Genomic DNA, 15,038 nt, shown 5'->3' on the forward strand with positions numbered 1-15,038 from the left:
TTCTACAGCATGATTTAATAAAAATAGGTTTTTATGCACTACTGAATAAAGCACAGTAAGTTTGAAAAAAAAACTATGTAAAATTTTTATCCATAGATTTTGTCCAACATATCTCAAAAATTTGTAAGCCCCTGAAGCATTTTATTTAAATTTTAAAAAATGAGTTATCAGACACTCTACTGCTGTGGCTGTTATGAATTTGAAAAATCCCCATAGAGACCAAAATACTTCTCTCTCTTAGCTCAGGACCAAACAATATTATCAGTCCATGTGGAAATTACAAATTCAGACTGGAGTGTAGCGGCCCCATTATGGCTCACTGCAGCCTCGACCTCCTAGACTCTGGTGATCCTCCCACCTCAGCTTCTGGAGTAGCTGGGACTATAGGAATGTGCTACCACGCCCAGCTATTAAAAAAAAATTGTAGAGAGAGAAAGAGAAAGGGACTTGCTATATTACCAGGGCTTGTCTCAATCTCCTGGGCTCAAGTGATCCTCCCACCTCAGCCTCCCAAAGTATTGGAATTACAGGCTGCACCCGGCCCTTAAATACCATTAGAGGCCAATCAGGTATCTTACAGAGGTGAAGTCCCTGGTAGAAGATGGCTTGGTCAATAAAACTTGTTAGATCTGGATAATTTATGTCCTACCCAAAGACATCTAACTTAAAAATAAAAAACCCAGAGATGGGCCAAGCAAAACCGCTGTACAACTTGGGTTGAAGTAACTCCTTTATTCACACCCAAAGTTTGAAATAAGATTAACTTGATTTACCAAGGAAAATTTCCTAGGAAGACAGGGCATAAATTTCAGAACTTTCCCACAATTAGGATGTGTTTTGCCTGTTAAAACATATTAAATTCAGACTAGGTTGGAGCTTCCAAACTCAGAGAAAAAAAAAAAATTCAGTTAGCAGCTAATACTGCCATGGTAGTAAGAATGAGACTTGTTTGGTCATCTATAGTTTATTTCTGAGGAACTGAAAGTGTAATTTGAGAAATAGGAAAATAGAAAAGCTGACTGCAGCGGTTGGGGTGGTTTCATCTTTCTTTGGAGGAAGAGGATGGCTAAGAGGGCAACCGGAAAATCTGCCATGAAAAATAGAACATAAGCCAGTTTAGAAGGCAAACTTGACATGAGACGCCTTTTTTGTAGTACAGCGAGAGAGGGGCATGCTTCTCTCAAGAAGATATTGTACTCTTTTCAGTTTAGGATTCCAGATCATGATGTTTAAACATATGAAAACAGGCTCCTCTGACCCTACGGAATGGGAAGCACCCTCTTTTCATCCCATATTATTGTCCTTTCTGTGTCTGAAGGGAATCCCACTCAGTCCGATCAAAACTGCTAAGAAATGGGGTGAAATCTGATGAGAAGAGAAGGCATTGCAGCTGTTTCAGGGAAAATAAAATGCTTCTCGTAACTCTGCTTCTACGCAAATGCATCTATGAAATATTTTTATGGGGAAAAGAATTCCATAAAAAAGGCAAAAACTTAACATATTTCTTTCTCTTAGCTTGTAAAATAGTCTCCATTTTGGCAAAGAGACCGTACAACAGGAAGTCCAAGGTCCGGGTAGTCTGTGTTTGAAGGCCAAGAAAAAGGGAATATGAAAGGAACGTGCAACCAGGAAACCAGTGTAAAGGTTCTATCAGTCATGAGTATGGCCAGTTTTATTCTACTGTTGTCTCACCTGCTCTGCCACCCTGCCTGCCCCCTTCCTTTATAAGAGAAGCAATAAAAAGATAGATAAGGAAGTCAAATGTTAGCATATTCTTTGGCTTCAGTAAATGGATGGACCTCCATCAACCGGGGACGGGGACCATAGTTCTCCCTGGGACACAGATAAAAGCAATGTGGTGCAAGTTTCATGCTGTTACATCTTTAACTACTCTTAAGAGCAGAATTAACCATTACTATTGCTGCTCGCAATATTTATTAATTTAATTAAAACTTTGTTTCCATCAATACGTTAACCACACAAGTTTTCTTCTCAGCACACATTTTTATTATTATACCCTGTGTATTCTAATTTGAAGCAGAGCCTTTAATTAAGGGAGACTTGTTTTCTTATACTACCCAATATGTAATAATTTCTCAAATGTGCTTCTTACAATCATATTTTTCCTGTGATAAGGCATATACTAATTTGTATTGATGCAATTAAAGCTGAATATAGTAAGTGTCTTATATGACAAAATATTGAAGCTACATGGTTTATGAATTTTATATTGATTTGATAACTCTCATTTGTTTGCATTTATGCAAAATACCTTGTATAATTTTTAGATAGATACAGAAACCTTAGGAAATGGTTATAAATTCTTTATAAAACTTGCATGCAAGTTAGTTTTAATTAATCTTTTCCTTTAAGAGTTCTGTGTATTTTAGCTTTTATACATTTTATGAATTTCCCTGGTTTTAATAAGTTTTATTTAAGAAAGAATGACATAAATCCTGTAGTAGGTTTTTTTTTTTTCATAGTAGTTTCTTTCAGGTGTGTTTCTAGGCTAGTTTTGCCAGAAAAAGGTCAAATTATTTGGCCTTCATCATCCCATGGGTTTGTAAAGAATGAGGGATCAAATAGCCTCGGTATGGCTGCCAGAAATGTCACCTGTATTTAATATACTACATAAAAATCAGTCAGCAAGTGTCAAAGCAGGGAGTTAAAGTCATCTGGCTCTAGGCGCTGTGCTTTCTACCCTCTGGGCAAACCTGCATTCTTCATTCATACTGATCTATTACATGCTGTAAGGAGCATGAAAGGGTGACTATCTCTGTCTTGCTCACCATTGTACAACTAGAGCCTTCTGTGGTGTCACAATGAATAAATATGTTTTATAATAGAGAGTACATGTATTTATAGTATTTAGAAAAATGGTTATTTTACCCTTATATTAATTATAAATTAATTATAACTTATAAATTTATTAATTAATATCATCTTACAACTATTGTATTCAGCCTTTAGAGATGATTTTATTATTGTTATTTTCATGCTATTATTGTTTTTTAAAATTGGTCATTTTGTTTGCTTAATGAACCCTTAAAATGAATGATTTATTTTAGATGAACTTACTTTTTTTTTTTTTAATCCACTGCTTGGCTCTATTCTATATGCTATGAATAACTCACAGGAAGTATCTCTTTCTCATCCTCAGACAGTTTACAATCCTGTTGGAGAAATTAGCAACAAATAAATGAAAACTTAACAGTACTTTAAAACAAAATGCCATAAGGCATTACATGCTTAACTAACTGACATGTCTTCTCTAAATAGTCATGTAAAGCAGAAATAATTAGTGGATACATCTAATTGAGGTAAAATTTACATATATTACTCTATTACAAAGGTAACCTGAAAAGTCAATGGAAGACATTATATTAGACATATATTCACTTTGGGCTTTTTTTCCCCCTCACGCCATGCAGGACATCTAAATAGCAGGTACAGTACTCATGTGTACTTGGAGAATAACGCTGGCCTTCTCCCCTGTAGAACGTAAAACCTAAACTGAAACTTACCTCTTTTTTAATATTGACGCATTAAGCAAAATACACCCTGATTTGAAAAGCTATTAACTCTTGAGTGCGTTTTAACATTTACGTTGTCATTTGAACAGCATGGCTCACACAATACTTCTCAGGAAATATAATTTCAAAGCATAGATATGAAAATTCCAGTCATTTATTCTCATAGGTTGCTGTTTTGTAATTTGAAAATCACATATAATGTTTCCTTGCTTAGCAACACAACATTGAGATATGGGAGAGGAGATTCTAAAGTAATGCTAACAGTCATACAAGATTTATGAGAATATTAAAACATAAGTATATAAATATTTCATTTAGAAAATACATCTTTTTGAAAAATATTTAAAATAATCTATAATCAGTACATAAACTTTTGTGCAGATATTTAAAGGCCTACCCATACATATTTGTATTTTTAAAATAATTTAAATTACTGCTATAATTTAAATAGTATAGTAAATGCTATACTATTTTTTAATCTAGAAGCCTTAATTTAAGAACACTTCAGAAGTCTGTTATGGTTGATTCAGAAACTGATTTTACACAGTATTTTTTATGTAGCATGTACTGAAAACAAGTGAATAAACTATGGTTTCTGCCCTCAAGGAGTTCACAAAGATAGATTTTATATAATTTGTGATTAAGATGGTCTATGAATAAGTGACCCTAAAAACATTACTTCAACAAAAAAAAGCTTATTTTTATTTTTTTCGAATACGTATCCACAGGTAGAAATCTTAGTGAGGGCCAGCCAGCTTCTAGCTTTCTGCTTTGCCATCACTACGCTGTGGACTTCTTTGTGGGCTAAGATAATTTCAGAACCCACATTTACATATCAAGCAGAAAAATGAAGAGCAAGGACAAAGGGAGGATTCTAGCCATATTTTAAGAAAGAGTCCCCAGAACTACCACATAAAACTTCTACTTATGAACTTGGCCAGAACTTCATGTCCTAGTGACACTTAGCTATAAGTCATACTAGACAATATCTTTATTTTGGAAGAAAGTGTACCCATTTCAATGAAAACAAAGTCCTATTTACTTTGGAAGAAAGGGAAAACAGATTTTGAGGGATCTTACCATAGACAAGTAAACAAAATACTAATAATACAATATGAGAAGCCCTATAATGTTGTACGTATAAAGTATATGAGAAACATAAGTAAAAATAATCAAGAGTGTTTGTACATTTGAGGGAGGAAGACAGCATTCAATATCAATAAATTTTATACCTAGATGCTCTAGGTTAGAGGTATGTAGGGGGAATTACCGACTCAAGCACAATGAGCAGCTTTGACTTTTCATGCATTTTATTCTTCAGTCACCAGTGTGCCCATCTCCGTGGCCATGAACAGTAAGCAGGTTATGCTAATTTCTTCACAACCTCACAGACATGGGGTGTTATATTTGATTGTTTAAAGCCAGCTACTTCTATGTATAACATGAAAAGTATTGCAAATTTATTGATACACGTATCTTTGATTTTCAGAAGTTTTAAGCTTTTCTAATGTGTTATATTTTCATTTAATTTTAATATTGATTGTATTCTCCATGTGAGAATTTTAACCATTATCTTGGATTCCAGTGTCTGTGCTCTTTTTACTACACAAGTGTCTTAAGTGACAGAAATGATAGTAAAAGTATGTGAAGCAGTAATGGTGGGGAAATAGCAGCTAATGCTTTCCAGGTTTTCCTAAATCCACTTCTGGTAAGCTTGTCTGTGTCTTTCTCAAGGCCATTTACTAAAACAGTAATGCTTTAGTAACACTAAAACAGTAAACGGTTCATCTCCAGTAACCCTATACAAGATGATTACAGTCCTCATCTCACCAATGTAGGTTTTCTTCAAGATCTGCAATGACAAAGTCTTATGGGCTCTGCTTATCACAGGGATTCTCATACTTCATTGAGATCGGAAACATCAGGAGAGTGTTAAACCACAGAGGGCTGAGCCCCACCCTCAGAGTTTCTGGCCAGGCAGTGGTGGGTTGGGTGAACTCTGAGAGTTCGCATTTTTAACTGGTTAGCAATACACGAACAAGTCCATTTTCACAGGAGTCTTGTGGACATTTTACTGGCAAGGAAAGGCAGGTACAGGATTTAAATACGCTTCTATGCTTCAACTTTCAGAACCATTCATATGTTTTAAAATGTTGAAAACAATGTCATTCATAGTAAATAGAAATCAAGAAATGTTAACTTTTAAAAACGCTCAAAACAATTATGCGTCAACTATCACTGGCCTCATTTTCAGATTTAAAAAAGTTCAGATTGTGGAGAAGAAGGATTTTCTTTCATCATTATAAGTTTCTAGGACCAATAGGATCGTTTTTTTTTAGCAAGGTGAAAATGAAAATAGACCCAAAATTCAAAGATTTGTTAGTGCAAGTCAAGAATAAATAATAAGCTTCACACGATAATTTATTATAAGTAATTCCTTTGGTTTAACTTAATTTTTTCATTGATAATGCATTCCCTTAATCACCAGAAAATCAATATAACCTATTTATTAGACTTACAGTCTTATAATGTGATCTATGTAATAGAATAGAATGGATGAGTTGAAAATGTTTTAAATCTAATATGGAAAGTTAGCTGGTTTTAGTGCTGTCTTTCATACATTCAGAGTTGGAACTCCCCCTCTGAACGTGGCTTTGAATGTTAAATTGTCATTCATTTTATATATTCTAGCCAATCACAAATTTCAATCAGAGATAACTCTTAAGTAATACATAGTATTTTCTAGAAATCTACATTCCAATTGATACTCTGTAAACAAAAGGGGAAGGATGGAACTGGAGGGATACATCCAAAACTAAATCCATTCCATTATCTTTCAAAAATCAAAATGGAAAAATTAAAATCCCAATAAACAAAATATAGAGATATTTTGCCTTTCTTAAAATTGCAGAGCAACTCGTCAGATGCTGATAATCTTGGAACGGCACTAAACATGGCAGCATCCCCCAGGTGGGAAAACGTGTAGTGCTGGGCACCAGGTCACTGTCAGCACTCCCCATCCCAGGATCAAGCAGGGACCTCACAAGTCTTCATCATTGGCTGTCATGCTTTACCCAAGGGAACCCAGCTGGACCCTGAGTTCCAATTGACGGCAGTCTCTCAAGTCCTTTCCAAAAGATTTTACAAAGATAGAAAGTGAGAATTTTCTAATAGAGACTGTGTTTTCTAACCCTAGCCCACCTCCTAGTTCACACACACACACACACACACACACACACACAGAAACCTGTAGAAAGTGCAAATTAAATAGCACAAACAAACAGTGCTTCTCAAACTTTAATGTGTTTAAAAACCAGATTCTGAATTGGTGGCACTGGGGTGGGCCTGAGATTCTGTCTGCGTTTCTAACGTGCTTCCAGGGGCTTCTCCAAGGTGGGCAACCACACACTCACTAGCAACGCCTTCACACCTAGGCTTTGTTTTTGAGAAAGTCTGGCTATTTCTTTTAAATCAAACTCCACCATGTGGCGAAGTTTAAATTTCTGGTATACAATGAGTAGGAAAAAGCAGCAAAAAAAAACCCACACATGAAAAAAAACAAACAAAAAGAAACCTTTGTGTTGTTTAAAGCAAAGCATAGTAGCTCCTTTGGAGAGCGTCATAAAATATTAATTGTGTTTAATTTATGGAGAATAGAAGTAGGAGAGGGCTGAAAAGCAGCCCATAGCCATAGACTATTCTTCAAAATATAAGGGCACAGCATTGGCTGTCTTTAGTAAAAATCTCTGAATTAGTTGCATGTCTCTCTGACTAGAAAGTTCCAACATGCCTCTGCAAATGTCCCTGAGTTTCCTCCAGGGGACAATTTTCCTGAAGGATACGAGGAATTAGTAAAACCCCTTCCACTGGTTCTTGCAAGGACTAGCTGAGAAAACAAAGTCTCTAAAGCAAGCTATATCCTTGCCACATTCCCAAGTAGAAATCAGAGAGTACTCGAAGCAATTTACATACTGCAGAAAAAATCTTACATTTCTCTAGAGTTTTTGCTCCCTTTGAGAACAATGATTTTCTCCCCAGGGGGGAAAAAGAAACGAAAACACATTTACAAATGCATATGGCATTTTATATATAACCTATATAGCCATCATGGAAGGGTTCATGAATGCTTTGAAGTCCAGATCTTACAATGACCTGCAAATTAACCCTATGTTAGAATCCTCTATGCATGAAGCCTTCCTAGACTAGGGCTTAGAGTTGACAGACTTTGACAGGACTTAATTTTATAGTGTGTCCTACGGGACTATGGATCAACCCCAGGGTTTATTTAGACCATATTCAACAAAAATTCTGAGAACAAAGGTTTTAAAAGATACAATATAGCTTTGAGGAAAAAAGACCTCCTCTTCTAAGTCTCAGAATTTAAACACGTTAAGAGGATTTTTTTCTTAATATTCCAAATGTACAAAAGTCATGGGGAAGACATAAATTCATGTTTGTTTCTGCATTTATTGAAGGCAATTTTCCAAGTGGCTGGTTGAAAGAGTTATAAGACCATGGACATATAGCTTTAAAGTATACTAAGATTTTTTTTAGTTGTTTCAAAATTAATTATTTAAAATGTGCCCTTGCCATTAAGTGGATACGGTGAATTTATTAACACATTGTCATAATCAGAACATATGCTATATTGTTAAGTTTTTTAAAAGGGAAATTTAGAAAGCAAACATGTAGGTTGTAATTACATTATTGAATAAAAATAAAACAAGTGATATGGTTTGGCCATGTCCCCACCCAAAATCTCATCTTGAATTGTAATCCGAATTATAATCCCCACGTGTTGGGGGAGGGGCCTCTTGGGAGGTGATTAGATTATGGAGGCGATTTCCCCGTGCTGTTCTCATGAGAGTGATTTCTCATGAGATCTGATGGTTTTGTAAAGGGTTTGCCCCTCTTCACTTTGCACTTCTCCTTCCTGGCGCTTTGCACTTTTCCTTCCTTGCTTCACCTTCTGCTATGATAGTAAGTTTTCTGAGGCCTCCCTAGCCCTGCAGAACTGTGAGTCAATTCAACCTCTTTCCTTTATAACTGCCTCTTCTTGGGCAGTTCTTTATAGCAGCGTGAAAACGGACTAATACAACAAGGTATAAACAAAGTGTATCTCGACAGGTAAGATAGGATTGTGGGTATTTGTGTGTGTAAGTGTGTGTGTGTGATTTCTTTTTTGCGTGCACGTTTGTTTTTCTAAAATGAGCTGAAGCAACCTCACAATCTTCAGATTTCAGCCTTCTCTTCAATACCCAAGTAGGAATAGCCTGATTTCATGCCATGCCCCAAGTGTTCTGCTAGGCATGTATATTTCTCCGAGGAAATACACATGGAAACATGCATATACTCTGAAGACTGCGAACATGTTGCATAAATACATTTTGGTTGTAGGGCTTTTTTTTCCTCTCTCCCTCAGGTAACATCTGTTCCCAGGCCACTTCAAACTTCTTCTGTCCCTTTTTCTTATCATTTGAGGTTTCTTCTTTAGGTTCATGCCCATCACCTGAGGAAGGTACCACTCTACCTGGGACTACATAGAACCCCCTCCAGGCTTCCACACAATACAGATTAATTTTACTGTATCATTTAATAAAACTCTAATGTTCTGAAATAGCAGAAAGACATTATAATGTTGAAAAGAAAATTTAAAACTGGTACTGTATACAAGTGCTACTAAAGTTTCTAGGCAATTTTTTTTTCTTTCTAGGGTTTATCTTTCCAATGCTTTTATAGGATATAACAACATTCCTTAATGGAAGTATCACTATGTACCCAAACAGTGTACCCAGGGGAAATCTAGACCTCTCATCTTCTCTTGGACAGAAGAAGAAAAAAGGAGGTAGGAGGGAGAGAAGAAGGAGGAACAGGAGAAATAAGAGAATGAGGAGAAGAAAAAGGATGAGGAGGGGAAGCCGCAGAAAACAACTCCATCACACTTAGTCTAGGGCAGTGGTCCCAACCCAGGTGCACAAGAGAAGTTAAAATTACTGACTTACTCTCACTAAATAATTAAATGTTCTCAGATGAGGCCTTGGAAATAGGTATTTCTCTAAACGTCCCACATGATTCTAAAGTATTGTCAAGGCCCAGAACCATTGGTCTAGGTTCTGCCTCCAATTCAAGAAAATAATCTGTAGAGAAACAATCATGTTTCCTCAGGTCACTCTACCCTCAGCAGTCACAGAAAGAGCAGTTGCCGTAGCCACAGGACCCAGAGTGCGAGGTGGCAGAAAAATCCATCTCTTCTTCATAAAGTAATAGCTAGGGGTCACAATATTTTGCCTGCTCTGATTCTATACAGTACTTTTATACTAAGAAAGAAAAAAAGATTTTTTAAATTTAAAATATATAGAAGCTTAAATTGTGTGAAATAATTTTGTGATCATGTGATTATAAGTTACTATGAAACATATCCCAGACAATAATCATATAAGATATTACTGCTAGCTTCTAGCATAATCCCAGGGTTATGTCTCTGCTGACTTGCCTATGATTGTTATATGTTCATGACTTTTATGACTAACCTATAGGATCTATTTTCTCTCACAGAGAAAGAAAATATGCTTTTTTTTTTTTTTTTTTTTTTTTTTTTTGAGATAGAGTCTTGCTCTTGTCACTCAGGCTGGCGTGCAGTGGCGTGATCTCAGCCTACTGCAAACTCCACCTACCAGGTTCAAGCGATTCTCCTGCCTCAGCCTCCTGAATAGCTGGGATTACAGGCACACACCACCACGCCCGGCTAATTTTTGTACTTTTAGTAGAGACAGGGTTTCGCCATGTTGGCCAAGCTGGTCTCAAACTCCTGACCTCAGGTGATCTGACCGCCTCGACTTCCCAAAGTACTGGGGTTACAGATGTGAGCCAACACACCTGGCTGAAAATATGCTTTTAATTGTCGAGTTTTTTCTTCTTCATTTATTCATAGTCTATATAAATGGCAGATAGCTGGTGTAGTTTATTCTGAGTCCTTTTTATAATGAACTTGGTGTTAATGGATTGAGATTTGCGCTGGTCCAAGGTAAACTATTGTGTATGGTGTAGGGGCTTGACAGATGGGGCATTGTGGAGATCCACTGATGATCAGGTTCCAAAGTTCTGCATTAGCATTAATGTAATTAATATAAGACAAGCAGGCTCTTAATGATCACAGAGATACTTGTCTTTGACGTTAAAGTTTTTATTTATAGGATCTATGATTTTTGTTTTTGTTTTTACAATTACTCTTTATTTGAAACATTTTTATAGATGAATAGATGAATGTTATAAGTATTTATGTAACTTTTAGTGGATGTCAGTGCAGTGCTCCATTAAAAAAGGGGCTCTGGAGACAAGTACTTAGGTGGAAATTTTTGCTCAGCCGCTAATATTGGTATGAAATTGAACAAGTGCTCAATTTCTCTGTGCATTAGTTAGTTTCGTTATCCATAAAACAGGGATAATAAGAGACATGAAATGGAATAATTTATGAGTTTTTAATGGTATTATTCATGAGAGCCCTTAAAATATAGAAATATAGGATGTCCTCATTACTTATTTACTTATAGCACAATTATGATTATTGTTGTCATATTTAGGCTAGCTCTAGTCACATGTTATGGAATTTATCATAACACCTCCACTCATTAAGTTACATTTACTCTATTTGACAGATGGGACAAGTATGGCAATGGCCACCAGTGTTGTAAATGGTGATTCAGAACTTTAACAGAGCTTTTTTGTGACTTCAAAAATTTTGGCTTTTCCTCCACATAATACTTTTAGCTTAATTTATTCTTTGTTTTCTTAAATAACACCCTCATTTTTTAATCATTTGAATGTTTCTATTTTGTTTCTAGGAACTGTTTTGGTCAATTAACTTAAGAAATAAAGAAAAACTCAAATTACCTGTGGCAGATAAAACCTTATTAACATTTTATAGACATTTATTTTATCTTATAAGATCTTATCTATTAATCAATGTTTATATTTTGTGTTTAGGAGTCAACTCTCCTTTAAAAAATTTCTAATCTGAGTTACACTGAACTTTTTTTATACTAAAATTGTAAGCTGCAGAGAAAGCTGTAAGTTTACGTATGTTTCTATGTAGTTATATAAATATAAAACTATATAGGCATGCTTTATGCTGCCTGCTAAACAATTCAGCGCTAAAATCTGTAAACCTAAACTTGGAACCTAAATTTGGAAGAAAACAGCTTTTTTCCTTAGGAAACTTACCTTCTTCAGCCTGCTATTTGGATACTTTATTCTAGAAGCTGTTAACAAAAATAACACTATTAGTCCACTTGGTGGGGTAGGAGTCATTGAAATAGAGATTTTGCTACATTAGGTAACATATAATTATGTAGTGAAATTCTTTGTGTCTTTTTATTTTATTCTAACTTGTGCCTTACAAAATTAGCTATTCCACATAAGAAAGTTGCAGTAATTATTTTCTTAAAAATCTCTGAATGTGTACTAATCTGGGGATAGTTATCTTTATTCCTTCTTTGGCTTATTACAGATTTAAATTAAGCTGAGATTTCTTTAGTGTTATTTTTCCAGAGCCATTGGGATTAGAGATGCTGGATTTTGTGGTGCTCTGAGTGTAGTTAAGCTCTTGTCAACAGAAGTATAAAATTATTGCTGTGTGTAGTTGGTATATTGCTGTGTGCAGGTAATTAAAGCTAAACATTGTGCAAAGAAAGATGATTAGAAATCTTAAATTCACAAAGAAATCTAACTTTGGCACCTAAAACCTCAAATTCTTTACGTGAAACAAATCTATTGGACTTGAAATTTTATAGGAAACTTGGTGATACTTTCAATATCAACCAAAATGCCGACGCTTACTTAGTTCTATAAAATGTATAAGCCTTACCTCCTACACCCCAAGCACTGCCTGAATATTTTAGAACATTTTTTGTTTGTTTGTTTGTTTTCCTTTTAGTATTAAATGCTCTATATACTTCCTGACATGGATATATTAAAAAAAAAAAAAAAACGGCGAACAAAACCAGATTTAATATGTTACCTCTTTCCTTTCTTTTCTTCTTAAACTGTCCATTTAAAATGTATTTTTTAACTCCTAACATTGCTGATTTCATAATTTTAGAGTGATTAGGAATGTAGATGTAGACAAATGCAGGAGAAGGTAGGCTGATGCCAAAAGCTAGCATGTTTGGTGTCAACAGGTAATTTGAGTTGCTCCTAGCTTCTCCTTTCCATATTCCCACATAAAATAGTCTCAATATTTTGTGTGATATAGATTTTTTTCTATTCACTCCTTTAGTTTTAAAATCCTAAGGAGAAGATTAGAAATATTGTTGTCAAATATCACAAATTTAAAAAAATTATGATGACCTTATCACCATTCAGTACAGTATAATTTATATTTTATTTTTATTTTTATTTTATATTTTTGAGACAGGGTCTCACTCTTGTCGCCCAGGCTAGAGTGCAGTGGCGCAATCTCGCTCACTACAGCCTCTGCTTCCCCGGGTTCAAGTGATGGTTGTGCCTCAGCCTCCCGAGTAGCGGAGACTACCGGGATGCACCATCACGCCCAGCTAAGTTTTGTACTTTTAGTAGAGACAGGGTTTCAGTATGTTGCCCAGGCTGGTCTCGAACTCCTGACCTCATGTGATCCGCCCACCTCAGCCTCCCAAAGTGCTGGGATTACAGGCATGAGCCACCACTCCCAGCAGATTTTATATTTTAAGTAAACAGTTATATTATTGTCTAAAACTCTGCCAGTGAGCATATGAATACCACAAAGACAATTAATCTAAAATCAAACTTTAATAAGAGGTTTTTATGATGTTGGAGCACAATGCAATGAAATGATTAGAGAAAGAGAACCCAACACTATAAAGTATCGTCTGTTGGTTGAGTACATGTGAGGGGAAAGCATAATTTGACCATGTTGATGAATGAAGAGAAAAAGAGGCACGGAAATAATAATTTTTGCAGGCTTACCATACAGCAGCTATTGCATTCTAAGCACTTTGCATTCAACCACTTCAATCCTTTCAACAACCTTATGAAGTTCATAGTGTTATCATTTTACAGATTTAAAAAAATGAGGCTCAGAGAAGTTTCCAAACTCACCCAAAGTTAATTAGCAAGTGGCTGAGTCTGGCTTATAAGCCTATTTTGGGTGAGGTGATCAATGGAAGCTTTTTCCTCCAGAGTAAGCATTTAAATTGCGACCTAAAGATGAAAGGGAACTAGCCATGTGAAGGGGTATGGTGTGGAACAGCATCCAGGAGAGAAATTGACTTGTGCAAAGACCCTGGAGCAGACAAGAGAGTATGGAGATTTGAATATAAGAAAGAGGGTCAGTGTGGCTGGAAAGGCATGAGCTTGCGAGTGAGAGGTATTAGGCTGGTGCAAAATAATTGCAGGTGAGATTTTGGCCATTACTTTCAATGGCAAAAACAGCAATTACTGTTGCACCAACTTAATACAAGGAGATGTTAGAGAGATAGGCAAGGGCTAGATTATTTGAAGTCTTGTATTACATGGAAAGACCCTGGATTTCATTTGAAATAAAGTCAGAAGCCATCAGGCTAGGAGTAAACTGACTTGTCTGGAATTTGAAGAATACATTTACGGGAGGTCATATGTGTGCCTGCAGTAGTGAAGATGGGAAGGCATTTTAGGAGGCTACTATTGTGTGCCAGATGTGAAGTAAGAGCCAGTAAACAAAGAAGAAGGACACATTGCGGAAATATTTTTGTATGTGGTATTCATGTGAGTTGCAGATGAATTTGAACCAGGGATGGCAGGGGGTGGACGTAGAGAAGGGGAAAGAAAAAGGGAGAAATCAAGAATGACAGTTTTGAACCCTAATATCAACTATGGACTCAGGGATTATGATTCACCAATTTAGCTTCATCTATGCAACGAATGTACCTCTCTGGTGCAGGATGTCAGTAGTGGAGGAGGCTGTACATATTGGTGTGGAAGATAATTCGTGGAAAGTCTATACTTTCCACTAATTTTGCTGTGAACTTAAAACTGTTCTAAAAATAGTCTATTAAAAATTTCTTTTGAGACGGAGTCTTGCTCTGTTGACCAGGCTGGAGTGCAGTAGCACGATCTCGGTTCACTGTGACCTCCACCTCCTGGGTTCAAGCAGTTCTCTGCCTCAGCCTCCTGAGTAGCTGGGATTACAGGCGCCCACCACCATGCCCAGCTAATTTTGGCATTTTTAGTAGAGACGGGATTTCACCATCTTGGCCAGGCTGGTCTTGAACTCCTGACCTCGTGATCCACCTGCCTCTGCCTCCCAAAGTGCTGGGATTGAAGGCGTGAGCCACGGTGCCCGGCCCAAAAATTTCTTTAAAATTGAAAAAGAATGACATATGTAAGCTTGAGTATCTTGCCAAAGGTGCTACCATTTGCTGAAATGTGGAAGGCTGGAGAGTTATAATAGTAAAAATCAAGCACTCCATTATTCACGTGTTAGGTTGAAGATATCTGCAGGACATTCAGGGGTACACGTCAACTAAGCAATTG

General features: G+C 36.2%; 1 protein-coding gene across 29 annotated transcripts in view, besides 2 other annotated features; it reads left to right on the forward strand.

Annotated features, from left to right (window-relative positions):
• Nucleotides 1-15,038, forward strand: part of ROBO2 (roundabout guidance receptor 2) — a 1,743,290-nt gene that overhangs the window by 761,181 nt on the left and 967,071 nt on the right. The gene's annotated exons all lie outside the window — the stretch shown is intronic.
• Nucleotides 549-718: an enhancer, noted in NCBI's record as "experimental_71361 CRE fragment used in MPRA reporter constructs". NCBI's record gives its function as "activates a minimal promoter by MPRAs in K562 erythroleukemia cells, with activity observed for the non-introgressed 3:76717640 variant allele {active_cell/tissue: K562}" and the evidence as "EXISTENCE:reporter gene assay evidence [ECO:0000049][PMID:34662402]".
• Nucleotides 1,430-1,630: a silencer, noted in NCBI's record as "peak4710 fragment used in MPRA reporter construct". NCBI's record gives its function as "represses an SCP1 promoter by STARR-seq MPRAs in K562 erythroleukemia cells {active_cell/tissue: K562}" and the evidence as "EXISTENCE:reporter gene assay evidence [ECO:0000049][PMID:32103011]".

Source organism: Homo sapiens, chromosome 3 (genome assembly GCF_000001405.40).
Source record: "Homo sapiens chromosome 3, GRCh38.p14 Primary Assembly".
NCBI lineage: Eukaryota > Metazoa > Chordata > Mammalia > Primates > Hominidae > Homo > Homo sapiens.